General features: G+C 38.2%; 1 long non-coding RNA gene and 2 pseudogenes across 3 annotated transcripts in view, besides 3 other annotated features; 1 reads left to right on the top strand and 2 right to left on the bottom strand.

The window, feature by feature from the left end:
* On the bottom strand, positions 293-2,270 carry NUP50P2 (nucleoporin 50 pseudogene 2; annotated as a pseudogene).
* Positions 3,129-3,248: an enhancer, noted in NCBI's record as "active region_24168". NCBI's record gives its function as "activates an Ori minimal core promoter by ATAC-STARR-seq in GM12878 lymphoblastoid cells {active_cell/tissue: GM12878}" and the evidence as "EXISTENCE:reporter gene assay evidence [ECO:0000049][PMID:35858748]".
* Positions 3,359-3,588: an enhancer, noted in NCBI's record as "active region_24167". NCBI's record gives its function as "activates an Ori minimal core promoter by ATAC-STARR-seq in GM12878 lymphoblastoid cells {active_cell/tissue: GM12878}" and the evidence as "EXISTENCE:reporter gene assay evidence [ECO:0000049][PMID:35858748]".
* The window catches only part of CMAHP (cytidine monophospho-N-acetylneuraminic acid hydroxylase, pseudogene), a 57,326-nt pseudogene continuing 33,343 nt past the window's right edge, over positions 3,542-27,524 (top strand). The window contains exons 1-3 of one of the 2 annotated variants that reach the window (NR_027626.1): positions 3,542-3,860; positions 4,111-4,314; positions 26,834-26,943. The product of NR_027626.1 is annotated as a cytidine monophospho-N-acetylneuraminic acid hydroxylase, pseudogene, transcript variant 2 (transcript). Of the gene's footprint in view, positions 3,861-4,110; positions 4,315-26,833; positions 26,944-27,524 lie in introns of those variants that run through there. The other variant, NR_002174.2, reaches the window with a different exon arrangement.
* Positions 3,629-3,678: an enhancer, noted in NCBI's record as "active region_24166". NCBI's record gives its function as "activates an Ori minimal core promoter by ATAC-STARR-seq in GM12878 lymphoblastoid cells {active_cell/tissue: GM12878}" and the evidence as "EXISTENCE:reporter gene assay evidence [ECO:0000049][PMID:35858748]".
* On the bottom strand, positions 6,743-20,245 carry LOC124901282 (uncharacterized). Its single transcript, XR_007059515.1, has 3 exons — positions 20,050-20,245; positions 19,402-19,477; positions 6,743-7,280 (listed from the first exon to the last, which is right to left on the bottom strand). It is a non-coding gene; the product is annotated as an uncharacterized LOC124901282 (long non-coding RNA).

The raw sequence follows: 27,524 nt of genomic DNA, 5'->3' as shown, positions 1-27,524 counted from the left end.
TGGCCTCCCAAAGTGCTGGGATTACAGGTGTGAGCCACCACACCTGGCCAACACAATATTTTTTAAGGCCAAAATGAACGCACAAATTCCATGACAAACGAAATATCCAAAACTTAAAGACAGGATGTTATACTGCCACACTGCCATTACTTCTGAGGCAAAAAGGAAAAAGCGTGCCCCTGTATAAATGTATTTTAATGGTTATTTTCAAGAATATTAATGTATTTGAAAAAATATTGAAATGTTAAAAAGTAGGTGTATTAAAATTCATTTTAGTTTTTTTTTTTTTTTTTTCCAAAAATTGCATTCAAATGTATTTTACACTTTAGGCAGTTCTTAAGAAGGGAGAGTGCGGTTTTTTGACACTTAACATTTAAAGGTTTTATTGGCCACATTAATCTTTCTCACAAAAGTTTTAGGTTATCTATAAGTTCTTAGAATGTCAAAGAAGAGAAGAAAAACTGACTAACTTTAAGGGGCGGTGGAAGAAGCAGCAACTTGGCAATAATTCCGCAGCCAACTTCGCGTGTTCAGGCATCCTTTTTCTCCAGTAAAATTTTGTGCAACTCGTCTGCATCCTCGCTGGTTTTTACCCGAATCAACATGGTGACTGGCATGGTGGCATTCTTCTCGTCAATTGGTGGATTTGGAACACAGACGATAAGAACGTTATTCTTCCCTGTTCGCGTACATGGCATATTGGGTGGAATCAGAACATTCAGCAATATGTTGCCTAAATTGGTGTCTGCCCGCACCAAAAGCTGTGTCTTCTGATTTGCTGTAGGTTTTAAATGCAGAGTACCTATGCCTTTCTCTTTAAACTCATTGTCTTTCTTGTAAAACAGTTTACACTTTTTGGAGTAAAAAGCATCTTCTTTTACTTCGGTAACTACTACTTTGGGCGGCTCATCATTCTCTTCTTCATCTCCACCTTTGCATTCACCACTGTCACCTTCCGCTTGGCCCTCCAATGGTTTAGTGGGAAATGGTGAAGAGACTGGTTTACTCTGGGTAGTATCTTTGCCAAATAAACTGGAGTTTCCAGGGGAGAAAGAAAATCCAGTCAGGGGGACAGAGCTTAATGAGCCCAAAACAGAGCTATCAACTTTCTTGTCGAAATTAAATGAGGCACTTGTCGCTCCTAGTGATGATGGGTTCGTTTTCTTTTCAGATGCCACCTCCACCTTCTTGTCAGGTGTATCTTCAGTTTTGTTGCCATGAAACAAAAACGTTGACTCTTGCTGTAATTTTGTTGAGCCAAAAAGGGAAGGAGACTGTGTTTCAGCCGCCACTTTGTTAGATTCACTTTTAGAATTCCTGCCACTGTTCCCGTGTTGCTGTTCAATGTTTGCTAAATATTTCTCATAGTCCTTAAAGATAGGTGTCAGATCACAGAGGGGGTTTGTATTCACGTGCTTCACTATCCAATCCCGCACGGAGCAGTTCAAGGCGGCCAACTGCTTGTGATAGGCATTTCCGACACAAGCTTTACTGGAAGCAAGGCCAGAGGAGGAGGGCTGCTGAGTGTCCCCATTAGTTTTGGGATTTGAAACTTTATCAACCAAGGCGGTAGGGCCATTTGCAGCAAGAGAACCAAAGGCTACCTTGGGCTCTGCCGCTGCCTTTGCACTGGTGAAGGGAGGGGCACTGGTTATGTTGTTTCCATTCGACAGTCCTTCCAAAGGCTTCCCTCCAGCGCCACTACCAAATCCAGGAAAGCGTCCTCCTCCAGAAGGTACCACCAAACCTTTAAAACCTTTAAAGGCTCCTCCAGTGTCAGATTCGAATCCAACATTTCTGCGCTTTGCTTTCTTTATGGCTCTATTCTTCAAGACTTCCTCACTGGCCATGGAGAATGTTCCCACCTCTTAAGCTTCATCTTCTTGATCCCAATTCCTATCTGTCAGTTCCTTCTCGGCATTTCTTTTGGCCGTGTTTTCGAACCTCCTCGGCGGCCGCCGCTGCACTCGCTGGGTCTTGGGTGCGGCGAAACCCAGGGCGCAGCGGCGCAGGGGTCTGGAGCCCGCAGGGGTCGCCGGGCTGAGCGCGCTCGGCCGCTTCCGGTGCTGCGCTGCGGAACTCAGAGGACTTGGTGTTCGGCAAGCCCAGAGACTCAAACACCATGTCCATGGAGGGGGGGTCCTCACGCTGTGTTCAGCAGGGAGGCGAGAGCGCCGGTTCAGCCAGAGACCGCTGGGGGAACCGCGCCGAACACGCTCCGGGCGGCCATTTTGTAACTCGAATCTACCCCCAAAACCAATTCGAAAAAAGGCAATTCATTTTAGTTTTAATGTTTTATAGCAAAACAAGAATTTGCTACAGTTTTATTTTTCTGATTTTGATAGAAGCAAATTCATTGATATCTTTAAAAATACTTTGGGGAAAAGCTAATCATTTAAACAATACACAGAAAAGCATGTATATAGGTGCACATATTTTTTTCTTTTGCCTTCTGCTCCAATGTGACTTTCACGTGGAACTGAGGACAAAAGTGTGGTTGAGTGAACCTGTTCTACATGGTTGTGATATAAGTTGAAATCTAACAGAGAACTTTGGCTATATGAATTCATTCAATGGAACAACAAAAATCTAGAGAGGTTTGCCTTTTAAACTCTTAGACTAATTATTCCAGGAATTGCCTCAGTGCTTATGTTAGCTTGGTGTCAGATATCTGTACTCGTAAGAACAAAGTCAAAAGAGAAGTCATGAAATTTAGAATGGCTTCTTCCTGTCAAATACATTTAGAACATATTTTTGGAATAATTTCAAGTCCATTGGGAACACAATTACTAGGAATTTGGGACAGAGGTGACAATGAGAATCTGCTTTGAGAAAGTAGATCATAATATTACAGAGCTATGCCTTCATCAGTTTAAAATTGGAAGTGGTTTCTCTGTTATTTTCTACCCTGGAGTGTTCTTAAAATTATTTTTATCTCCTTTAAGAAATTTGCAGCGCTTCTAAAAATGAAACTGAAAGTGCCACAAATATGCTTGTGCTCCAAATCAGTTTTAAGTTAACATGCAAAGAGAATTTTGGCTACTTTTTGTTTGGAGTCAAATATAAAACTAAACAACATGTGCCCAGATTTCCTACCATGGATTTGCAAAAGCTATTTTGAAACCTTTCTTGGCAGAAATCATATTCTGTTATGATTCAGTGTTGCACTGTAAACAGAGTGTTTAGAAATTGGGGTTTGAGAAGTGTAACGGCTAGTTTCCTTAAAAGAAAAAAAAGATTCAAATGCTTGGTTTGCGGCTGGAGCTTTTTGTAAATTAATCAAATTGAGTGCAGTGGGAGGGGTGATTCATTAAGTAGAGAGCTAGTGAAGACATATCCTGTGAAAGGCAGTGGGCTAAGTGGTAGGGGGAGAAGGAAGATACAGAGTGCTTTCAAAAGTGCCTAAATGTAAGTCAACAGGGCAGTGTGCCAATTACAGTGTTATAATGTTCTACAGAAGAGGGATGTACACCAAGAATGCCAGCCTGGACCTCTGGTGTGTCTTGGAAGACTTAACCAGGAAGGGGACGATTCGTTTCTATTTGACCCAAGACTGATGCTGCGTGGTGAAGGAGAGGAACTGCGTTCCAGGCAGAGGAAGTCCAGATGCGCAAGAGCAGAGATGGGAGGGACAGCACAGTGGCTTCTCAGAATTGAATATGGTGTTAGACTTCTAAAAGAGCTGTGGTAGAGGGAGAAAACTGTCAAAGGAAATCAGTAACTGTTAAAGGAAAATACCTTAAACGTCCTGTTTTCAGGCTGACTAATGCCTTAGGGGAGCAAATGAGCAACAGAAACGATATGAGCAACTGCTGTTCTTTCAAAATACCCAGGCAGAGGAACCGGCAGACGATGGGCAGGCAAGTAAGAGGGCTATTAGTTCCCTAGAAAAGTGGAGAGGCATATTTAACAAGTAAGAAGTATATTTACATTCATATCAGGGTGGGGAGAAATGCATCCTCAGGTAGCCACTAAACCTGGGTACTTGGAACGCAAGGGGCTTACAAAATATTTTAGGGAAAAGGGGTTTTGAGCTGTCAGTTTGAAATGATTGTCTCTTAAAACCTAACATTATTAACCTTCCCCCTCAAAATGTTTGCCTTTTCATAGCATCGAACAAACAACTGAGATCCTGTTGTGCCTATCACCTGTTGAAGTTGCCAGTCTTAAGGAAGGAATCAATTTCTTTCGCAATAAGAGCACTGGCAAAGACTACGTCTTGTACAAGAATAAGAGCCGACTGAGGGCATGCAAGAATATGTGCAAGCACCAAGGAGGCCTGTTCATAAAAGATATCGAGGATTTAGCCGGAAGGTACCAAGAGTCCTTTGCTTTCTCTCACTGGTGACCTTTCTTGCAATTAGATTTGGCAGGAAATGTGTTCATCTAGAAATTTTAAATGAACCAATAAGCAAATTACTTCCCCTAGAAAATTTTACTCTTGCGTGTTTAGGCCATTTCTCTGATCTAAAAGTTGTATGTTCTATTTAATTTTCCTCTCTCTTATAAGAACTCTAATTTAAAATTTATTCCTGACTTGATAAATAGTAAAACCTCTCTGGGGTATGTGTGTGTGTGTGTGTGTGTGTGTGTGTGTGTGTGTGTGTGTGTGTGTTTGGGTGTGCATAGGTAAAGCACACATTTACCTGGTTTGGTATTCAAAGACCCAAGCCTCCTATGGGTCTCCTTCCTCTCTCTCCCATAAGTGTGTGTGTGTGTGTGTGTGTGCATGCTCCTGTGTGTGTGCATGTGTGTATAGGAGGGCTCTTTTCCAAAGCCTGCTGGACAGCAGATAGAATTTTCCCGGGAGGCTAGTTGTGATTACTAAACAAAAATAGCAGGGCCCCGACTGTTCCTGCCCTGAACAGTGACTCTTCTGACCATTTCCTAGAACTGATATTGTTGCCAACTTCCCTCCCATCCCCTCCCCTCCTCTACTGTCCCTTCCCCTTCTCTCCCTTCTGTATAGATCACCTCTCCCCAGTGCAGCAGCAATACCAGGACAGGATTGTTTTGTTAGTTTTTTTCTCAATGACTGCCAAAGAAATAGCAACATGGCCTGGCAGAGTCAGATAGCGCTCTTGGGCATGTGTTTTGTCAGTCTAATTCTCAACACCAGTAACTCTGTGAGTGTTTACCCCACCTTTCAAGCTTTGCTTTAGCCTAATTTGCCCTATGTGGCTTTAGTCACTTGGTATTAGGCTTTTTTCTTCCACTGTGTTGTCAATCTTATTTCTCAGGTCATTTAGGGGTAGTTTAGTGCTGGTGCATTCAGAATAAGAGCTGAGTAGTTGTCCACGAGTTACCTGTTACCCAAATCTAGAATGCTGTCTAACGTTCACACAGATTTACTTTGCTCTGTACCTAGTATCAAGGCCCAGCCCCTCATGTTATTTGATTTTTAAATGCTAACTAACCACTATGAATCCTGAAGACCTGACACAGGTCTCAGTTAATTTAGAAAGTTTATTTTGCCAAGGTTGAAGACGTGCACCCAGGACACAGCCTCAGGAGGTCCTGACAACATGTGCCCAAGGTGGTCAGAGCACAGTTTGGTTTTATACATTTTAGGGAGATATAAGACATCAATCAACACATGTAAGATGAACATTAGTTCGGTCTGGAAAGGTGCAGGGAGGGGGCTTCCAGGTCATAGGTAGATAAGAGACAAATGGTTGCATTTTTTTTGAGTTTCTAATTAGCCTCTCCACAGAAGGCAATGATATATGCATTTATCTTGGTGAGCAGAGGGATAACTTTGAACAGAATGGGAGGCAGGTTTACCCTAAGCAGTTCCCCACTTGAAGTTTTCCTTTAGTTTAGTGATTTGAGGGGCCCAAAATACTTTCACATTTCCCCCCTTTTCTTTTTAAAAATCTGTTGGAGAACGCATTTTAGAAGAAAATGAGTCTCTGGCCTCAGGTTTCGTCTGATCTCTCATGGCTAGGATGGTTTATTCCTAGATAGGTAGGTCCTGAGTTATTAGGAAAGCTCCTTTTTAGAAGGTTGTGAAGTCTCATGTCCTGTGAAGAGAAAATAGGGGGAGGACAACAACAAACAAAAGAACAATTCTGGAAAATAGATATATGCCACATTACTCTGAAGTCCATACATCAGTAGGCAGGTATGAAAGTGGCTTATGTATGTAAATAGGTCGCTGCTATTTTCTTCTGAAGCTCAAGTTGTTTAGCTTCATTTCACAGGGCTTTATGAAAGCACATCTTAGTTTCCAGTGACTCCAAATTTGGAAAAATGGAGGAAAAAAAGAAGGAAAAAAATTGAAAACATTATTTTGAAGACATGTAGCTAAGAAAAATTAGAATTCAGTCCAAACTGTAGAAAATAATAAAAATTGAAAAACATTACACAAGACTAGAATCTAACAATAGATGTACTATAGTTTTTGAAACATAATTTTTCTCTCTCCCCTTTCCCATTTTTATGAAAGACAAATCATGGCAGGACTGGTTTTCCTTATTATACTTGGCCTAATTCTTTGTATACAGTGCAGCAAGAATAATTATTTTTTATATAAGCTTTTAAATTGGCTTTGATGGAACTTTTTCCACAGAAGGAATCTCAGAGAAGACTTTTTTAAAGCACAGCCCAGCCATGGATTTGTACCATGAAATACCTATGAGTTGGGTGAATTCCTCTCCTTTTGAGCTCCTAACAAAAACCTGGGGCTCCTGGGCCTGTCAGTAAGTGACCTTTTTTACTTACCACAGGTCAGGAACCCTGTACAGGGACTGTGGAGACAAAGGTATGAGGCTAGTTTTTCCAAGGGACTTTTTATTGGCTCCATAAGTCAAGTTTAATTCTTTAAAGGAAAGCACACTATTTCAGTCAAAGCCTTGGTAAAATAACCAGTTTCTTCAAATGTGTGCTGTTACAAATGAAAACAGATTCTTATTGCACTTATGCAAATAACTGTATTGTCATAAGTAAAGAATACTCACAAATAGATTCCAAATTCTGTAGAAATCAGGTAGTTTTAAAAACAAATATGCTCCAAATTTTGTTCAAAGGAGTATACTCCATTGTTAAAAAGCTGTAAATAGCTTAAAAGTTTCTTGATTTTGAAAAACAAATTATCAGCAACATTTTAAGCAAAAAGTTAAAAAAGATTACTTCAAACTTCTATTAGTTTAGTCCATGCAGTTAATTCTTGTTCTGCTTGATATTCATGAACATTTCAGCTCTCCATGAGTCCTCGAAGTTTTTTCTCTATTTTGATGTCACAGTCTCCAGAGCTATCAGAAACATGCATTCAAGAACACCTGTTAAGAGTTTTATAGCTGATTATAAAACTACCTCTGAAAAGGACCAAAAAAAGATGACAATTGTCTGTGAATAATGAAAAGTTTTAGGGCAGCCATAGTCAGACATTCTGTTACCTCTGTAGCACACAATAATTTAACATAAAAATTATAATTATTACTGATAACATACAGTGTGTCATATCAGAATAATAGGAGTTTCCCATAATTTTGGAATACATACCAATAACATATTTATACAAATACAGCCCAAAGAAAACCAAACACCATTTCATATTGGACAATGCTTCCTGTATAATTTTCATACCAAAAAAGCCAAATATGTCACTTTTGGACTTTAGGGAACCCATTAATACCATCTTAAAGGACTAATTAGTTCAGAAAAAGACATAATGTATAATTTGATTTCAGAAAGTTTGTCAAATATCAAAGGTTTTAAACACTTAATATCACAAAATAGGATTACAGGTCATTGTAAAATAAGTCATTCATTTAGCCAAAGTGATAAGGATTTCAAAACAAAAGGGCAAAAACCTTCATTCTTTGAGAGAGAAGACTTAATTTTCTAAACATTAAGCCCTAATAAAAAAACAGCATGAAGCCAATTAGTTTTCCAAAATTTTATAAACAATCCATAAAGGTTTAATCTTGATCATAAGATATATCTTCCATGAGCCTTTTATATCTTTGTAACCTTTATTAAGGAGTTGGTTAATGTTTTAAGAAAACCTTGTTAATTTGACATGGGTTGATATGCTGGTCTTGCATCAGTGTGCCTTTGACATTAATGGTTAATTTATAGAGAAACTGAACTCATTTTATCTCTAAAAATTAACTTTGTGATCTCACAAGCCCACCTCTTCTGCAATAGCCCCTGGGCCTTGAGGAGTTAAATGCCTTTAATTTCTGGCCCTGCGTCTCAGGAATGCAGTTTATTTTGATTGGCATCTTCTAGGGGGCCTGGAGATGAGGTTTTAATTGCTGTCAGTGTTTGAGATTTAGCAGGACTTGGTGTTCTTTTTAGACCCAAGAGTCAAAGCCCTGTAACTCAATGTCACAAGGACTTTAAAAGCACATACAGGAAGATACAAGAATGTAATAACCTTAATTAAAAAAACATTTTACATCTCAGTTTTTCCTAAGGAAACCAAACTTAATAATAATGGCATGGGAGTTATTTTGATAAATGTAAAATCTGTTAGGCCAGTTACCAAAAGGCAAAAGAAAATACCTTCTGCAGTGCACAGAATATTATGTTGGAAGAAAACAATTCCTTTAGACCTTTAAAGAAATGTTGTTAGCATCAGGCCACCAAAAAAAGAAACTGAGCAGGGAAAAAAACTTATATGAGCTGAAAATTAGTTGAAGGGGAGTGTTACTATTTCACACTTTTTAAAAGAGGAGAGAAAACCAAAACCAGCGAGATGTAATATAAGTGTATAAGTGGCATTTTTTTTAACATCAAACCCAACCTCTAGAAAGACCATTATTATTTCCCTTTAATCATAGGCAACTTGATCATATAAAAGTTTTTGTTTTGTTTTGTTTTTTATAAATCTTCTTCTTGTGACTTATACAGATTGTTCATGACATGCTTGGGCTTTCTGGTTTGTCTTGAACTAACTTCCTTCCTTCCTTTCTCTCTCTCTCTTTCTTTTTCTTTCTTTCCTTTGTTTTTTTTGAGATGGAGTCTCACTTTGTTGCCCAGGCTGGAGTGCAATGGCACGATCTCAGCTCACTGCAACCTCCGCCTCCCGGGTTCAAGTGATTCTCCTACCTCAGCCTCCTGAGTAGCTGGGATTACAGGTGCACACCACCATGCCTGGCTAATTTTTGTACTTTTAGTAGAAGCAGGGTTTCGCCATGTTGGCCAAACTAGTCGCGAACTCCTGACCTCAGGGGATCCACCCGCCTTGGCCTCTCAAAGTGCTGGGATTACAGGCTTGAGCCACTGCACCTGGCTGAACATCCTTCTTTCTTAAACAGTCATTTTACTCTAGGACTAAATTTACCATACAAGATTCTTTCTCATATGGAATTATTTCTCTTTAAGCTTTCTTACCGAAAAAAGCTCTTTATTTTTATAACTTGCTTTACATGTCTTTTATTTCTTGGTTCCTTTTACCTTGTTTTGTACATGCCCTTTAAATAAGCTTTGAATTAGACAAAAAGTGTTCACCTTTTTTAAAAGGACATACTGCTTTTTTTTTTTAGAAAGAATGTTTTCCTACAAATATATTTTTATTGGAAAATGCCCAAATAATGAAATATCTATTATTTAATATAACTTTAGATTCTAAATTATAATGAGTTTGTCTACAAGTATTTATCCTATTACATTTACCTAATTATTTTAATCATTTACCTAGATCACTTGTAAAAACTGCGATTGTCATTATTTGAAGTTATGGAATTGCCATTGCAAAATTATAACTGAGACAGTGAAAAAGATTTGACCTAACTGACTCCATCCTGCTCTTGCTTCTAACCTCCAAGCTGTTCTTGTTCATTTCTGGTTGTAGGTAGGCCAAACTAATTTTGGGAGGAACTTAGTTTATAGTTTAGCTTTGAAACAAAGATAGTAACAGTCCTTTCCCAAAACAAACTTTACTGCTCGTGAACTAGACTGCCTAAAGCCACAAGATTAGAAGTTATGGTAATCTTACTAAATTCAAGATGTTGCTATTTTAATTAAACTAATATCAGTGTCTTATTTATGAAAGATTACACAAGTAAAGATCATTCTGTCTTGGGCTGAATTTATAGTTTTGTAACCCCTGTGCCAAAGTTTGACACCTTATAGTATTTGGCAGGGATAATAACTATGAAACTGCTTGATTAATAAATGTAAACAAAAAATGTATGCTGGCAATTCTTAAGACATTCCTAATATTACTTTACGAATAATTTTTAAAGCTAGCTTATTTATTAAAAATTTTACTTAAGTTATGTAAAGTTGAAAAAGCATTTTACTAGTCTTTTCTTCTCTCCTGATAATGTATTTATTTATGTATTTATTTATTTATTTATTTATTTTTTAGTTAGAGTTTCGCTCTTGTTGCCCAGGCTGGAGTGCAATGGTGTGATCTCAGCTCACTGCAACTTCTGCCTCCTGGGTTCAAGCAATTGTCCTGTCTCAGCCTCCCAAGTAGCTGGGATTACAGGTGCTTGTCACCATGCCTGGCTAATTTTTTTGTATTTTTAGTAGAGACGGGGTTTCACCATGTTGGCCAGGCGGGTCTCAAGCTCCTGACCTCAGGTGATCTACCCACCTGGGCTTCCCAAAGTGCTGGGATTACAGGTGTGAGCCACTGCACCCAGCCAACACTTTTAGTTTCTTAAGCCAATTAATTAGAGCTCTTTCATACATTTTCAGTAGTGAAACAGTGTGTACACAACATGTAAATACATAGATATATTGGGCATGCTGATAGAAAAGTACATCTTATAGATTTATAGAAACCTTTTTTTCCCCTTAGACTTTCAGATTCCTGATAAACTGTTTCACAACCCTAGGCAGTTGTCAGCTAAATAGCCTTAAATTTGCATACTAAAGGAAACAACTCGGGTGAAAATGATATAGCAAAAGTTACATCATAAGGTACAGAGAGGAAAAAGTCTGGTGGTGTTAGAGGGAGATTAAAAATGGATGCCAAATTAAACATAAAATTATAGAAGTCTAGCATAGGATTCTATAAGGAGACTAATTTTATTTAGGTAGGGAATGACTACCTATCTTTTAACTGGATCTCTGAGCTCTGGGCAGAGCCCATACTGAATCCTGGGTCTCCAAAAAGGGAGAATTAATATGAGATTAGGCTACGTGGTGCTTTTACAGTGCACTCAGAAAAAAAAAAAAATTAAAGACATTTCTAAGTGTCTAAGCCACATTCTTCCTTAAAAACCCAAGAGTAACCTCTGTTGCAATAACTATTTTAGTCAAAAAAAAAAAAAGTAACACAATACAAAAGTAAGCTGTTCGAGAACTGAGACAAACTTGTCTGTTTACATTCTTGAAAAAATTTGTTTTCCCTGGAAAGGGAGTCTGGTGCCTTCTCCATTTTCTTTAAGGAACCCCAGGCTATTATAAACTATTTTAGGTCCTCCATGCAGCAGAGGGTGCAAGAGAAAGGAGAGATAGTAGAAGTAAATGAAGAAAACAGAATTCTGTCAACTGAAAAGAAAAAAACTTTTGCTCAAAAAAAAAAAAAAAAAAAGACAAGGTCCCAGGAGAAAAACAAAAACATGAAGTCCTTTTAAATACAAACACACACATATGCGTGCGCGCGTGCGCACACACGCACGCATCTTGGATGTTAGGTTTTAATTAAGCTGACTTTTAACCATTGAGCTCCTTAAAAAAAAACTTTTAAAATCTCATTACCATATTTCAGCTAGGACAAATTGCTGCTATTTCAGAAGTACAGCCATTGCTCTTTCAGTTTGGCCTGGCTAACAAAAAGGTGGCCTTGTTATGTAAATGAAGACCCTTAGAATAAAAAATTTTTCTTTTTGTTTTTTTTTTTTTTCCTTTTTCTGGCCATTTTTTCCCCTCCACCCCATACCACGTGTGTGCGTGAGTGTGTGTGTGTGTGTGTGTGTGTGTGTGAGAATTTAGCCACTTCAGAGGCCTTGTTCCCCATAATTTGGAATTTCCTTTGGATTTGATCAAGTTGGATAGAGTTGATCAAACCCAATGGGAAAAAGTCCAAAACAACAGTGAAAACAGGAATGAACAACAACAACAACAAAAACAGTTAAGCAAAACAATCACACAACTTATATCATTACTGAGTACTCTAATAGTAAGGAGAAATTAAGACCAGCTGGTTGTTAATCTTAACTTTAGCCAAGACAAACCCCAATTCAGTTACTTAGCTAGGGATGGGTCTCAGGGTGTAGACTGCTCTCTACCATACTAGAAGCAGAGAGAAAAAAAACTCATCTTCCCTGTTGGAAGTGAGCTCAAACTCCATAAAAGAGTTACCTGTCTTCCATAGCCATGGAAACAGGAAATCTTCCCTTCCTTTTTGGAAGCAAGTAAAAGTTTTTTTGGAATTTTACTTGCTTTTTTTTTTTTTTCCAGCAAAATAAACTTTAGATCTCTACCACATTTGGGGACATCAGGGATTCTCTGGAGGGGGTGCTCTCAGGCCTCAGCAAATTGTCCTATTGGTTTGAGCCATAAAGTTAGCTCATGCTGGTACCAAGCATAGATTTGTCAAAGGTCAGGGGCATCTCCACTCAGAATCCCTTCATGGTTACCAAAATGTGAACCCTGAAAATCTGAGACAGGTCTCAGTTAATTTAGAAAGTTTAGTTTGCCAAGGTTGAGGACATTTGGCCATGACACAACCTCAGGAGGCCCTGATGATATATGCCCAAGGTGGTGAGAGCACAGTTTGGTTTTATACATTTTAGGGAGACAAGAGACATCAATTAACATATGTAAGATGAACATTGGTTCGGTTTGGAAAAGCAGGACAACTTGAAGCAGGGAGGGGGCTTCCAGGTCATAGGTAGATAAGAGATAATTGGTTGCATTCTTTTGAGTTTCTAATTAGCCTTTCCAAGGGAGGCAATCAGATATGCATTTATCTCAGTGTGAGCAGAGGGGTGACTTTGAATAGAATGTGAGGCAGGTTTACCCTAAGCAGTTCCCAGCTTGACTTTCCCTTTTAGCTTAGCGATTTGGGGGGCCCAAGATATTTTCCTTTCACACCAGTATTGCACCTGTAGCTTGCTTGGCTCCTCAGATAGGGCTGCCAGCTTGACCAATAAAAATACAGGATGCCCAGTTAAATGTGCATTTCAGATTTAAAAAAACTAATGTATTTTTAGTATAAATATGTCCAAAGTAGTTAATGGGACACCCTTTTAGCTGGCAACTCTGCTCTAGGAGAACCTCTAAGTAATTCCCTGATGGCCCATTTTGATGTTCTTCCATCTTCTGGGTGGATTCAAGTCAGTGAAGCCTCAGACATAGTTCTGTCACTGGTAAACTTCCGCCAGCACTTCAAGGTGTTGGAGTTTTCTCTTCCAACTATTACAGCTTTGGGACTCTGTCTCTGGGTTTCCTCTCCTAGTTTTTTAACTTAGCGGGCCATTTCACAGAGTGCCACTTAGCCAGCCATTTAAGGAGGCCTTAAAGTTTACTGATTAAGAGCATCATCTCTCCTTATAGACTACCTGGTTTAGAAGCCTGATTCCACGACTTACTAGCTAGGTCATAACCCTCGACAGGTTTCTTAGCCTTTCTGGACCTCGGTCTTCTCATTTCTAAAATGAGGATGAAAATATTACCTACTTTGTCAGGTTGCTGAGAGGATTAAGTGATGCCAAACACATAAAACTTAAAAGAATGCCATATGGTGGTATATGGCAAGCACCTCAAAAAAGTGAATTATAGTTACTATTTCTCTGCAATGAGCTTCTTGTGTAGCTTATACAGAGGGACTTTTTTACAGGAACTCAGATTGTTTTTGTATCTAATATGCTCATCTAAGTATAGTGATTGCTTTCCCACAGACTAGCCTTTCTCTTCTTCATTCAAAGCCTTACAGGTGATTGACCTGTTCTCTTGACACATTAGTCCTCCCCTCTTAGCTCTCCTGCCCATGAGGAAGCAGGTTCTGCCAGCTTTATTCCCAGATGCAGCTCACCAAGCATTTGCACGTTGAGACTGCATTTCTGTGTTAACTTATGCTCTGTATTCTCCCATCCACTTCTCTGAGTTCAGTAAATTATAGTTGGATTCTCTTCGTAGCTATTTATCTGAAGAAACTGTCTTTTCTAGTTTCTAGGTTCCAGCCAAGAACAGAGACCTACCTGTTCTACCCACCATTATTCAGCCATTTTTCTTCTCAACACAACCAAGATCAACAAATCCTATAAGCCATGATTCTCATCTTTAAAGCCTATCAATTTTTCACAACCTCCTCTAACTGGAAAACTGTTGTCTCCCTGTCATCTATGACCGCATGGTTCTGCCAATTTTCCCTTTCATGGCCTGGCATGCCAAATAGCTGCAGTTGGAATGTTCCATCAGAATTAATTGAAAGGTTGTTGGCTACTTATCAATGAGAAAGGAGTCATAAAATAATCCTTCATAAATTGAAGCGTGGAATATGCTTTTTGCCTCATAACTTGGAGAACATGAAATAATTCTGGATATAATGAAATTCAGAAATATCAGCATGATTCACTTATGTTAAAGTAGATGTTTTTAGTTTTAAAAAATTTGGTGTTTCTGGTTTGCGACAGATTTCTTTATTTAAAAAAATTCTTTAACTCTTAAAACCAACAAAAAATCACCAGAAACACCACCAAAATAGAAAAAACGGAACTATTTATATCCCACCTCTAGCCACTCCGTCCCCCTCAAAGTTGTGGTAAGATGGGGAAAAGATACTGAGCAACCTGTTTTATTACAGTCTGGTTCTCATGCTAAAACAGGGTTGCTAGTGTTAAATAAAAATACAAGACCCTTGGTTAAATTTAAATTACAGATTTATCAACTAATTTTCTGAATAAATATGTCTTAAATATTATAGAAATCATATTTAAAAATTCATTATCTGAAATCCATATCTAACTGAGCATCTTGTATTTTATCTCACATATATGCTGTAAAATCTTAAACTATAAGATCTTTTCTCTTTGAAATATGTAACCTTTGGTTGACTATTCTAGGGGTCAAGGATTTCAGAGTGATGTAAATTATAGATATATATTTACTACTACAGTTTTTCCTTGTATTGGCCCCAGTTGGATCTTATCCAGCTTGGCTTTTATAAAAGAGGTGTTTCTGAAGACTTCTTTATTCTGCTGTCTCTGTTCTCTAAAATGTGTCATTTTGTGACATGGAGTTTATCTTCAATTTATTAATTTTATTTCTAAAATTACCTATTGATGATTAGGCTTTATCTTCAATTTATTAATTTTATTTCTAAAATTACCTATTTATGATTAGGCTTTTTTTTAATATTTAAGTATTAGCTATTGATAGTTTTTGTTTTAACTAATTCCATTATAATTTAATATCATTATGAAAGAATACATTTAAGCCTAATAAAGATTAATTTTTATTTTTACCATTTCTTTTTTTTTTTTTTTTTTTTTTTTTTGAGACGGAGTCCCGCTGTTTAGCCCAGGCCGGATTGCAGTGGCGCAATCTCGGCTCACTGCAAGCTCCGCCTCCCAGGTTCACGCCATTCTCCTGCCTCAGCCTCCCGAGTAGCTGGGACTACAGGCGCCCGCCACCGCGCCCGGCTAATTTTTTGTATTTTTAGTAAAGACGGGGTTTCACCGTGTTAGCCAAGATGGTCTCGATCTCCTGACCTTGTGATCCGCCCGCCTCGGCCTCCCAAAGTGCTGGGATTATAGACATGAACCACCGCACCCAGCCTAAAGATTGCTTTTTAAGATTAGGAAAGAAAAAGAAGTCAGAAGAAGCCAAATTGGTACCGTAACCAGGTGGATGCCTAATGATTTCCCACAGAAACTCTCACAAAATTGCCCTTGTTTGATGAGAGAAATGAGCAAGAGGCATTTTTATGGTGTGATTCTGGTGAAGCTTTCCTGGGCATTTTTCTGCTAAACCTTTGGCTAACTTTCTCAAAACAATCTCATAATAAGTAGATGTTACCACTCTTTGTCCTTGCAAAAATTCAGCAAACAAAATGCCTTAAGCATCTCGACAAACTGTTGCCATGACCTTTGCTCTTGAGCGGTCTGGCTTTGCTGTGACTGGACCACTTCCACCTCTTGGTAGCCGTTGCTTTAATTGTGCTTTGTCTTCAGGATCATACTGGTAAGGCCATGTTTAATCTTCTGTTACAGTGCTTCGAAGAAATGCTTCAAGATCTTGATCCCACTCGTTTAAAATTTCCACTGAGAGCTCTGCTCTTGTCTGCAGCTGATCTGGATGGTTTTGGCAGCCATCAAGTGCAAAGTTTGCTCAACTTTAATTTTTCAGTCAGAATTGTGTAAGGTGAATCAATTAAGATGCCTGTGGTGTAGGCTATTGTTCGTGCTGTTAGTTGTTAGTCCTCTTCATTTGGGGCATAAACAAGATTAATTTTTTCTTTGCAAATGGATACGGATGGTCTGCCATTGCAGGCTTCAACTTGAACGTTGTCTTCTCTCTTCTTAAAATGAGTTATCTATTTGCAAACTGCTAATTTCTTTGGGGTATACATGCACATGTAAAATTTTCAAAAAGTACAAAATTAAATAGAGTAAAAACTGAATTTTCTCTCCTTCTCTGATCCCTAGTCACCAAGTTCCCACTCTAGAAGCAACTACCATTATTATTTAGTTTCTTGTGGGTCCTTCTAGGGGTATCTTTTGCATTTGTAAACTAGTACATATTTATAATATTCCCTTCCTTAGTAGCAGACTGTATACATTGTCCTCCACTTTGCTTTTTTTTCTGAATGGCTCTTGAACTTAGAAAGCAAAAGAAAGATAATATTGAATATCCCTGACAAGCAAAGTGTTGACCCAGAAGCTGCTAGTGAGACTTCAATTTCTCTTTCCCTCCCATCCATTAATAAACACAGAGATTTCTATTTTGTACCTGGGCATGAGGGAGAAAAAGGAAGGGAAATTGGGTGGTGGAGTCTGTGGTTTGTGGGGAGCTAAAAATGGGAATTGTTCTGGCCCGTAGACCAGGTTGGATTGCCCAAGCTCAGGAAAGTGGCAATCAGAAAAATAATGGCACTATTTTTAGGAGAGAGTTGGAGGATTCGTGGGAAGTAGGAGATGGCCAGAACTCGTTATCTGACAAAGAAGAGCCATTTCACGTCCTGGTGTCCACATGTGACACACAATTGGAGAGGAGGCTATTTCTTCTACCTACCCTTGGAACCTAGCAATGATGTGACATTCCTCAAACTCCTAGGCAGACAATGTGAAAGATTATAAGCCAGGGTAGGAAAAGAGGGAAAAGCAGACACCAAGCAGTTACAGATCAGGTTGTGGGCATGTGTGTAGCATGCTTCTGGGGAAGTCCCCAAAATACGTTCGGGACACTTGAAAATGTGCTAATTTCTAGTCAGCAAAACAGTTGGGGCTCTTGCCATCATCATTTGTGCATAAAGATAGACTGCAACTTTATTTTATATTGTCAATCTGGTGAGGCCTGGGAAAATTGGGTTATATGTAAAAATGGAAAATGCTAAATATACAACATATGCAATACCTTGTAACAGGATGGTGAAATGGAAGTTGAGGTTGCAAAACAACAGATGCCCATTCCAAATTGAAGTTCTGAGAAAGGATTTACAAAGAGGCTGAGAACCAGTAGATCATTCTTAAATCCCTCACCCTTATAAGGAATACTAAAGCATAGAAGGGGAGTTTGAAATATAACTTCTTAGGAAGAGTTATTTGGAAAGCTGTACTGAGAGTCCATGCCCCTTGCAGGGGCAACTTCTGAGGGATGCCGGCCCCTCTCCTTAGGCCAGAATTTAGCTGGACCACCTCTAGAGAGTCTGATATGTGTTCTCCAAGGTTAAGGGACACAGTGGGCTGGTGTCTGATTCTCCCCTGAGAAATCTCAAGGATGAAAGATTGGCCATGTAGCTGTGACAGACAAGCTGAAGGAGAAGAGGTTGTGTTAGGCACACTGGCACTCCCAGAATTCAGTGGGGCTAGAACAGTTGAGTGTTTCCTATGGATGTGATGTGGACCATGAATGGGAGGCATAAACGTAGAGTCATTCTAGGTCCAAAAGGCCTGCAGAGAAAAGTTGGATGTATTGCTACGTTGCTAGGGGCTAAGGAAAGCATAAGTAACCAGGTAGCATAGAGATACCCAGGTGCAGAGAACTTCAGGTGGGTGTTTCCAAGCAATTGGACGGATCCTCGCAATAACCCACTGAGGTATCCCTTAGAATCAGCTTTAAGCAAAAGCCAAGCCCAGATAGTGCTGCTGCTCCGTGACCAAAGGACCTTTGCTCTCTTTCTTTAACTCTCCTTTTTCCTCCAGCTCCATGTCTGGAAGGGTCAGGAACCTTGGATGAAGGCATGAGGGGAGAGGAGGAATAGAAGCATTGGGTGAGGCCAGGCATGGTGGCTCACACCTGTAATCCCAGCACTTTGGGAGGCTGAGGTGGGTGGGTCACCTGAGGTCAGGAGTTTGAGACCAGCCTGGATAACATGGTGAAACCCTGTCTCTACTACAAGTACAAGAAGTAGCTGAGCATGGTGGTAGGCACCTGTAATCCCAGCTACTTGGGAGGCTGAGACAGGAGAATCGCTTGAACCCAGTAGGCACAGAGGTTGCAGTGAGCCAAGATCACACCATTGCACTCAAGCCTATTTCTGATACACAAAGCAAAAAAAGCATGTTATAAACATTATAAATAGAATGACTCAATTATTTAAAAAATACATGCATAAGCACATGTGGGTGATATAAGAGCAGTCTTAGATTACCTGTTAAGGGAGCTGAGCTGGAAGCTTCCTGGGCTATGCCTCCAGGCTGTGGGCTTTGAATATAATACCTTTAAATTTTTTTTAGGCTCAAATTATTATAGGCATACTATATAGGCGTGACCACTGTCACCCATGTGTCTCTGTGAGACCAACACCAAATGCCTTTTTAGACAAGAGTGTGTTGCCAGCATTCTCCCAGTTCTCCTACAAACAAAGGTGTTACTTATTGAGGTATGTGTCCTTTGCCATTCACTACAAGGAAATAGAATGCTATTTTGGGAAGAGTTGCTAAGTGTTTTGACTACAAATTCATCGTCCCTCCACGTCTCAAACAGGACACCTGGACCACTAGCTATTTTCTCCAGTGAACTCCACCCTGAATCTGTTGACTTAGCCCAGAAAGCCTGCCAGCTGCCTTATTACTAGGAGCTGGTTATGTGTGCTGTACAAATACTGTTAAATTTATTTGACATAAAACTGATAATAAACATAGGTTTGGGTATAAACACTGTTAGTTTGTGTAAGTGAAAGGACAAGAGACTATGAACTTTATGAATATATAACCAAGTAATCTACAACTGCTTAGGGGCTTTTATGAAAATCTCTAAATCTTTTGATCAAGACCTTTACAGAGACACTGTAGCAAAGTGTTAAGAGCAAAGGCAATGGGGCCTTCTCACCTGGGTGCGGATCCAGGCTCCAACAGACAGTCTGGGGACACTGGGCAATTTAGTCAATCCCTTTGTGCTTTAATTTCTTCAAATGTGAAATAGAAATAATATTTTTAGTAGCCGTCTTACAAAAAACAGGTTGTTATAAAAAAATGTTTAATTTAATGCCTGTTAAATTCATGGTAGTTAGTACACAGAGCATAATTTATTTGTATATATATGTCTCAAATAATCTGCATATATCCTTGGGACTGGGACCACAGGAGCAGAAATAAGGGATTTCCCTCCCAGCAGGAAGTTGGATGCACTGGAAAATTAGATTAAGGCTACTGTTAACCATCATGCAGGCAAAAGGCAGGGCCAGAGCTGGCAGCAGGGTCAGTGGGAGGACAGGAAATAACAAATTCTGGGAATTTCAGCCTTAGCTGGAGTGAAGACACTGCCACGAAGGGAACATTTGTTAACAGAGCTCACTTTTTAGTCCAGTGCTACCAACGCTGTAGGGATTTCATACCACATTCTGAGAAAGATAAGGGCTTGATCCACCTGGGGACATGTTATCAGTGATGAGCATCTGATTTTATTATTATTATAAAAAATAATATATGTTCACAATTAAAACGTTGGAATTCAGAAAAGTAGAAGGAAGAATCTCACCTACACTTGCATCACCCAAAACATTTTAGAATGTTTTGTTCTGGTGGTTGCTGTCCTCCCTCTCCCCATCTCCTTCCTCCTTCCTTTTCTCTTTCTCCTCTTCCTCCTCTTCTTCCTCTTGGTAAGAAATAATCTGTGTACCACAAAATTTACCCTTTTAAACTGCACACATTAATCCTTTTTAAAAAAATATTCAAACGTTGTGCAACCACCACCACTATCTCATTCCAAAACATTTTCCGCCACTCCCAAAAAAACCCTGTAATGATTGTCGTCCTCATTCCCCTTTTCTCCAAGACACTGTCAACCACCAATCTTCTTTCTGTCTCTATGGATTTTCCTATTCTGAACATTTCATATATTGGAATAATACAATATGTGGCCTTTTGTGTGTGGCTTCTTTCACTTAGCATCATGTTTTCAAGATTCATCCATGTCATAGCATATATTAGTACTTCATTTACTTGACTTTTATGGCTGAATAACATTCCTTGTATGGATATACCACATTTTGGCTATGATGAATACTTTTCCTATGAATATTTATCTAATTTTTATGTGGGCATATGTTTTTTGTTCTCTTGGTTATAAACCTAGGAATGGAATTGCTGGGCTATATGGTAACTCTATGTTTAACTTTGAGGAACTGTAAAACTGTTTTCAAAAGGACTGCATCATTTTACATTCTCATTAGCAATGTATGACTCTGTTTCTCCTCATCCTCACCAAGACTTGTTATTATCTGTCTTTCTTGTTGACATCTTTTGAAGCACAAAAGTTTTAAATTTTGATGACATCTAATTTTTTTTTCTTTGGACCTTGTGCTTCTGGTATCTAAAAAAGTATATGGTTAGAATAACTAAGTCTTTTATTCTAATATACTTATTAGACTAACATACACACACATAGATAATAGTCTAAGAGAGAGTCTAAGAAATATATCTATTTCTCTCTCTCTGTCACCCAGGTTGGAGTGCAGTGGCATGATTACGGCTCACTCCAGCCTCTGCCTCCCGGGTTCAAGCAATCCTCCCAGCTTGGCCTCCCAAGTAGCTGGGACTACAGGCACATACCACCATGTCTGGCTAATTTTTGTATCTTTTTGTAGAGAGAAGGTCAGACTATGTTGACCAGGCTGGTCTCAAACTCCTGGGCTCAAGAGATCTCCCCACCTCAGCCTCCTAAAATTCTGGGATTATAGATGTGAGCTACCACGTGTAGCCAGTCTAAGAAATATTTTTTAAATTGCCTAATCCAAGGTGATGAAAATTTATTCCTATTGTTTTAAGAGTTTTATAGTTCCAGCTCTTATATTTAGGTCTTTGATTCATTTTGCGTTAATTTTTGTACATTGTGTGATGTAGGGGCCCAAATTCATTCTTTTGCATGTGGATGAATTGCAGCACCATTTTCTGACAGACTATTCTTTCCCCTATTGAATTGTTTTGGCATCTTTGTTGAAAAATCAATTGATCATAAATATAAGGGTTTATTTTTGGACTCTTTATTCCATTGATTTATATGTCTATCCTTCTGCCAGTTCCACACATTTTGATTACTGTAGCTTTGTAGTAAGTTTTTCAAATTGGGAATTGTGAATCCTTCAATTTTATTTTCTTTTTAAAGATAGTTTAGTTACTCTAGGCCAGCTTGTCTTGAGTCTTTAGGGTCAGCTTGTCAATTCCCAGGGGGTGAGGTATGGGGGGGGAAAGCAGCCAGAATTGTGATTAAAATTGTGTTGACTGTGGATTAATTTAGGGAGTATTACCATCTTATCAATACTCAGTCTTGATCCATGAACATGGAATGTCTATTAATTTATTAAGTCTTCTTTAATTTCTTTCAACAATATTTTGTAGTTCTCAGAGTATAAGTTTTATACTACTTTGATTAAATTTATTCCTAAGTATTTTATTCTTTTTGATGCTATTGTAAATGGAATTGTTTGTAAATTTTATTTAAAAATTAACGGCTAGCGTATAGAATATTGCTGATTTTCAAAATACCTTGTATCCTTTGAAGGTTTTAATAGTTTCATTTGTAGATATCTTAGGGTGTCCTATATACAAGATTGTGTCATCTGTGAATAGAGACAGTTATCTTTTTCCTTTACAAACTGGATACCTTTTATGTCATTTTCCCGTTCAGTTGCCTCCATGTAGAAATGGAGGTTTTAGCCAAGGAAACTGCTTGTCTGGTTCCTGCTTTTAGGGGGAAAACAGCTGTCAGGTTTTCTTAGATGCCTTTTTTTTTTTTTTTTTGACGGAGTCTGGCTCTGTTGCCCAGGCAGAAGTGCAGTGGCGCAATATCTGCTCACTGCAACCTCCGCCTCCCAGGTTCAAGAGATTCTCCTGCCTCAGCCTCCCAAGTAGCTGGGATTACAGGCACGTGCCACCACACCCAGCTGATTTTTGTATTTTTAGTAGAGACGGGGTTTCACCATATTGGCCAGGCTGGTTTCAAACTCCTGACCTCAAGTGATCTACCCACCTTGGCCTCCCAAAGTGCTGGGATTACAGGCATGAGCCACTACGCCTGGCCTATTAGTTTTCTGAGTGTGTTTTATGACAACAGGATGTTGGATTTTTTTCAAATGCCCTTTCTGTGTCAATTGAGATGATGATGTGGTTTCCTTCTTTGTTCTGTTAATGCAGTGTGTTACATTGAATGATTTTCAAATGTTGAATCAGCCTTGCATCTTTCAAATATTGAACCAGTGTGGCATAAAGTCCACTTGTTTTATGGCCCAAGGTAAAGTGTTCTCTGTATGTCTATTAGGTACAGTCAGTTTATGGTGTTGTTCAAGTCTTCTATTCCCTGTTAATCTTCCATCTAACTGTTCTGTTCTCTAGTTTTCTTGTTAGACTTAATTTTTCAAACAGTTATTTTATGTAAACCATTTTTGCATCTTGTGAATATTATGATATTAGACATAATGTCAGATTCTATGCACATATAATTTTATGTTCACATTAAATATTAACTAATATATTTAGCCATTTTTCTGTTAGAATTTAAGATCATCATAGTTTTATTTAAAATTAAAACTGGTATTTTTGCGTTTAAGAGCTTCTCTGTATTTGGAGTTGTTTCATAAGGTAGTTGAATTACTGGTAAAATAGTATGGCAATTAAAGCATTCACCACCAACCTTCATATACTTCAGCCTGAAGGTGGGCTTCACATGGCCCAATAGCCTCAATGTGAAAGTAATGGAAGACATATAGGAGTATATTTCTGCAATCTAGAGATAGGGTGGCACTTCTTCACTCTTTGGATAACACTTCAAAAGTACAGCTCATAGGGCAACAAAAATTTTAAATATGGACGAATATGATTTTATTAACATGAGATTTCTGCTTAATGAAGGAGACCATGGACAAAATTGAAAGACATAATGACAATTTGAGAGTTTTTTGCAATGTTTATAATCAACAAGGGATTAATATCAAGCATAGAGTAGGAAGTAATGCAAATTGACAAGAAAAAGACAGAAAAATAAAAAGGGAAGAAAGAGTATGAACTAGCATTTTACCGAATAAACCCAAAGGCTATTAAACATATGAAGATACTTACTAAGTAGTAATCAGAAAACTGCAAGTGAAGCAAGCAAGTTTCACTTTACATCATTTAGAGTAGTAAAAAGCTAGAAGCTAAGATGATGCCAAACGTCAGAGACGTAGAAGTCCTCATCCATGTGATGGGAGTGTGGCTGTTGCAGCCATTCTGAAGAGTAATCTGGCAGTAACTAGCCAGATGAGTTTTTTGTTTGTTGTTCTTGTTTCTTTTTATTTTGTTTTGTTTTTAGAGCCAGGGACTTGCTATGTTGCCCAGGTTGGACTTGAACTCTTGGGCTCAAGTGATCCTTCTATCTCAGCCTCTCTAGAAGCTGGGAGTACAGGCATGTGCCACTGTACCTGGCTTCTGATGAGGTTTATGAACATACTAGGATCCATAAATCCTGCTCTTGTTTATACCTCAAAGAAATTCTGTTGTGACAGAACCTAGGAGTCTACCCCTGGGAGAGTGAATTTGTAAAATGTGGTAGACATGAACCGTGGAATACTCAACTGCAGTTAGATGTGGGCTAGATGTACACATGGCAACATCATGGGTGTCAAAATCATAGTGTTGAGTGAAAAACAGTAAGAAACAGATTGGAGACCTAATGCCATTTATATAAATTAAAAATGCACACACACACAATATAATACATATTTTGCACAAACATTTAGAATGGCACCTTGGAGGGGAGGAAAATGAGAATGGGAACTAGAGATAAAGGGAATAAATAAATAAGATTAAAAAGAAAAGAGCTTTGCATGGATCAGATACATGTCATGAACTAGAAAGTATGACTAACACAACCCTTTCCACTTGATGTCCTAAACGAATGAATGAATGAATGAATGAGTTCATCATATGTGCCTTCTTTAATATGTATAGCATTACCATCCATTCTTTGGCACTGACAAATTTTTGCTCCCACTGACTGGTTTATGAGCGTGCCTTTTCTCCCCATACCTTACCAGCTCAGAACATTCTTAGTCTTTCAGACTGTTCTCATTTGAGGCAAAAATTGCATCTCATTGTTTTTACTTGCATTTTTCTGTCAAATATGATGCTAATATTTCACTAAATATAGTTTGGCAAAATGTGTTTGCTAAATTGTTTTGGTGTTAGAAGTTTTTCATTTTACATTTGTATCTATTCAGATTTTCCACTGGGATTATTTCCATTGCTATTAAATTTAAAAGTCCTCTCATATTTGATATTCTATTTTATACATTTTCATGGCTTGGTCGTTTTGTGTCCTTAATCAACTAGAATACTTAGAGAACTAATTGCCACAGCACCATGTTAGATGGTCCACATATTTATGATACCTTCTTTAGAATAAACAGTTAACATAATTAGGATCCACTTTTTGGCTGACCTAATGTCAATAATCAGTGATTTGATTATTATAGTTTTATGGTATATTTTTGTTCCATTTCGCCTTCATTATTCTTCCTTAAAAAAGATTTTAGGGACTACCATTTGTTTGTTTTTTCTGGATAAAATTATAACCCAAATGACCTAGATTTTATCAGCTTGTAAGGTCAAATTAATAATACTATATTCTCATGAATTTATTTATAATAGTTGGCAGATGTCACATTCTTCGTTGCATCTATGCAATTTATCTTTGTGCAAGGAGCATAGCGATCTTTATGGTAATTGCTTCAGAACGATGATTAAGAGTTACAATTGCTTCTTGGCCTTTTGGCTAAGATCAAGTGAAGAATTACAGACTTATTTTTTTCTGCATCTCTTGAAAAAGAAAAATTAAGAAGGGGTAGCTATCAGTGCAAGAGTTTCCTGAGGGTCTCCCATAATACAATTGTATTTTTCTAACGAGTTTGCTAGTATATAGGTTTGTTTGTCCTACAATGAACTTTTAAAGTTCTATATATTCCTTTAAGTATAAAATAATGACCATAATAATACTATTATTTATTAAATGCCTGCTTTGTTCCAAGCATGGTGCTAGACACTTTAGTATCTATTATTTCATCTAACCTCCACGACAACTCTATGAAGTTATGTATCATAATTTTATAGATCAGAAAACTGAGGCTCAGGATACTGCTAATAAGCAGCAGAAATAGGATTCCCACCCACATGTTCCCAAAGCCAGCATTTTTTCTAGTTCATGACTCTAATTTTCAACAATCATATAACCTTGAAATAATAATATGTACCTTCATTATACCACTTGCATTTTCAGGAACATCGTTCAATAATGCATTCTTTATGTATTCCTGATTTTATTAAGAAAGCCATTTGTGTTTCACCATTAAATAAGGTGATAGTTATGACTAAGAAAAATATTTTTATTACATTTTCTTAAGCAATGTTTAAAAGGTATTAAAAATTAAGTGAACACCCATGTACCCAGCACCCAGCTTAAGACATAAAATATTAACAACAGAATATATATCTTTCCTTGATTATATCACATATCCTCCCACCCATGCTCTGGAGGTAATCACTTTTTTGAATGGGGCTTCAGGATAGCTATTCTCTATTCCCTCAGCTTTATTGAGGTATAATTAATTAGCAGAATTGTATACAAATGCTCCTCAACTTACACATGGTGTGAAGTCCTGATAAACTCATCATAAGTTGAAAGTACTGTAAGTCAAAATGTAGTTAATACACCTAGCCTACCAAGCATCGTAGCTTAGCCTAACATGCTGTATGCATACTCAGAACATGTACATTAGCCTGCAGTTGGGCACAATCACCTGGCAACATGGTCCACTGTAGAGTATCTGGTGTTTACCCTTGTGATTGCACATGGCTGACTGGGAGCTGCACCCGCTACCGCTGCCCAGCATCTTACTGTGTATCACTAGCCCAGAAAAGATAAAAATTCAGAGTATGGTTTCTACTGAATGTGTGTCATTTTTGCAGATCAGATGCCCCTCCCTGTGCATTCCCATAGCGCCTCGAAGTCATCTCTATCAATCATTCATTTAGTCGTAAGGAAGTCTTGTTTGTATATGTGTATCCCTGACATGACTGAGACCTCATAAGTTCTCTAAGTGCCATATGAATAAAGAAATGAATTGGTGTTCATCTTAAGTCATAGTCTCTGCAGATATTGCTTGATCTAAGGGAGTGGCACCCTTTGTTTTGATTTTCCTTTGATCTTTGGAAGACCATGCATTCCTATTTCAGTGATGCTTTTAAAAAGCCATTTTTGTCATTAATCCAGATTTGTTCTCATTTGATTCTAGTTGTTGAAATGGATGAAAACAACGGACTTTTGCTTTTAGAACTGAATCCTCCTAACCCTTGGGACTTACAGCCCAGATCTCCTGAAGAGTTGGCTTTTGGAGAAGTACAGGTAAGGAAATATTAAAAGGATAATATTATTAAAAACAAAAACGTGACCAAGATGTCCATTTAACATCTATATCTGTAAACATCCTATATTACCTTGAATACTGTTTGAGATGGGTATTTAGGACATATGGTAAAAAGTCATATGATAAAACAAATTCTTTAAGGAACCCCCAGAACTTGGCAGGGATTACAAGGAAAAAAACAATACAAAACTTTGGGAAAAATCCCTAAGGAAACTCATGCAAAACTATTTGATGCCAGATCACTACTGGATAGAATGGCTGGTTGTATTTTCTGGCTTTAGAAGAGAATTTCCTTCAGAGGAAACACTTTAATAGTTTGGGAGAGGTACACAATCAAAAATTTATTTTTCTGTGTATTTAGGAAGTTTATGTATATTTGGGCAGCTAATTTTAAGGAAACAAATGAGAACCTGCCCGGAATAGACATAATAAAAACTAATCTATGCCTTGACCTTTCCTCACCCACTTTGTTGCCTTTTCACATGACGTTCCCGCTATCTCATCTCTGCTTCTCAATACATTCCTTTTCCATGGAGGTGCCAGGCTGTGGCAAGAGAAT

The sequence above is a fragment of the Homo sapiens genome, chromosome 6, assembly GCF_000001405.40.
Source record: "Homo sapiens chromosome 6, GRCh38.p14 Primary Assembly".
Taxonomy (NCBI): Eukaryota; Metazoa; Chordata; class Mammalia; order Primates; family Hominidae; genus Homo; species Homo sapiens.
This window is presented reverse-complemented; position numbering and strand designations above follow the sequence as displayed.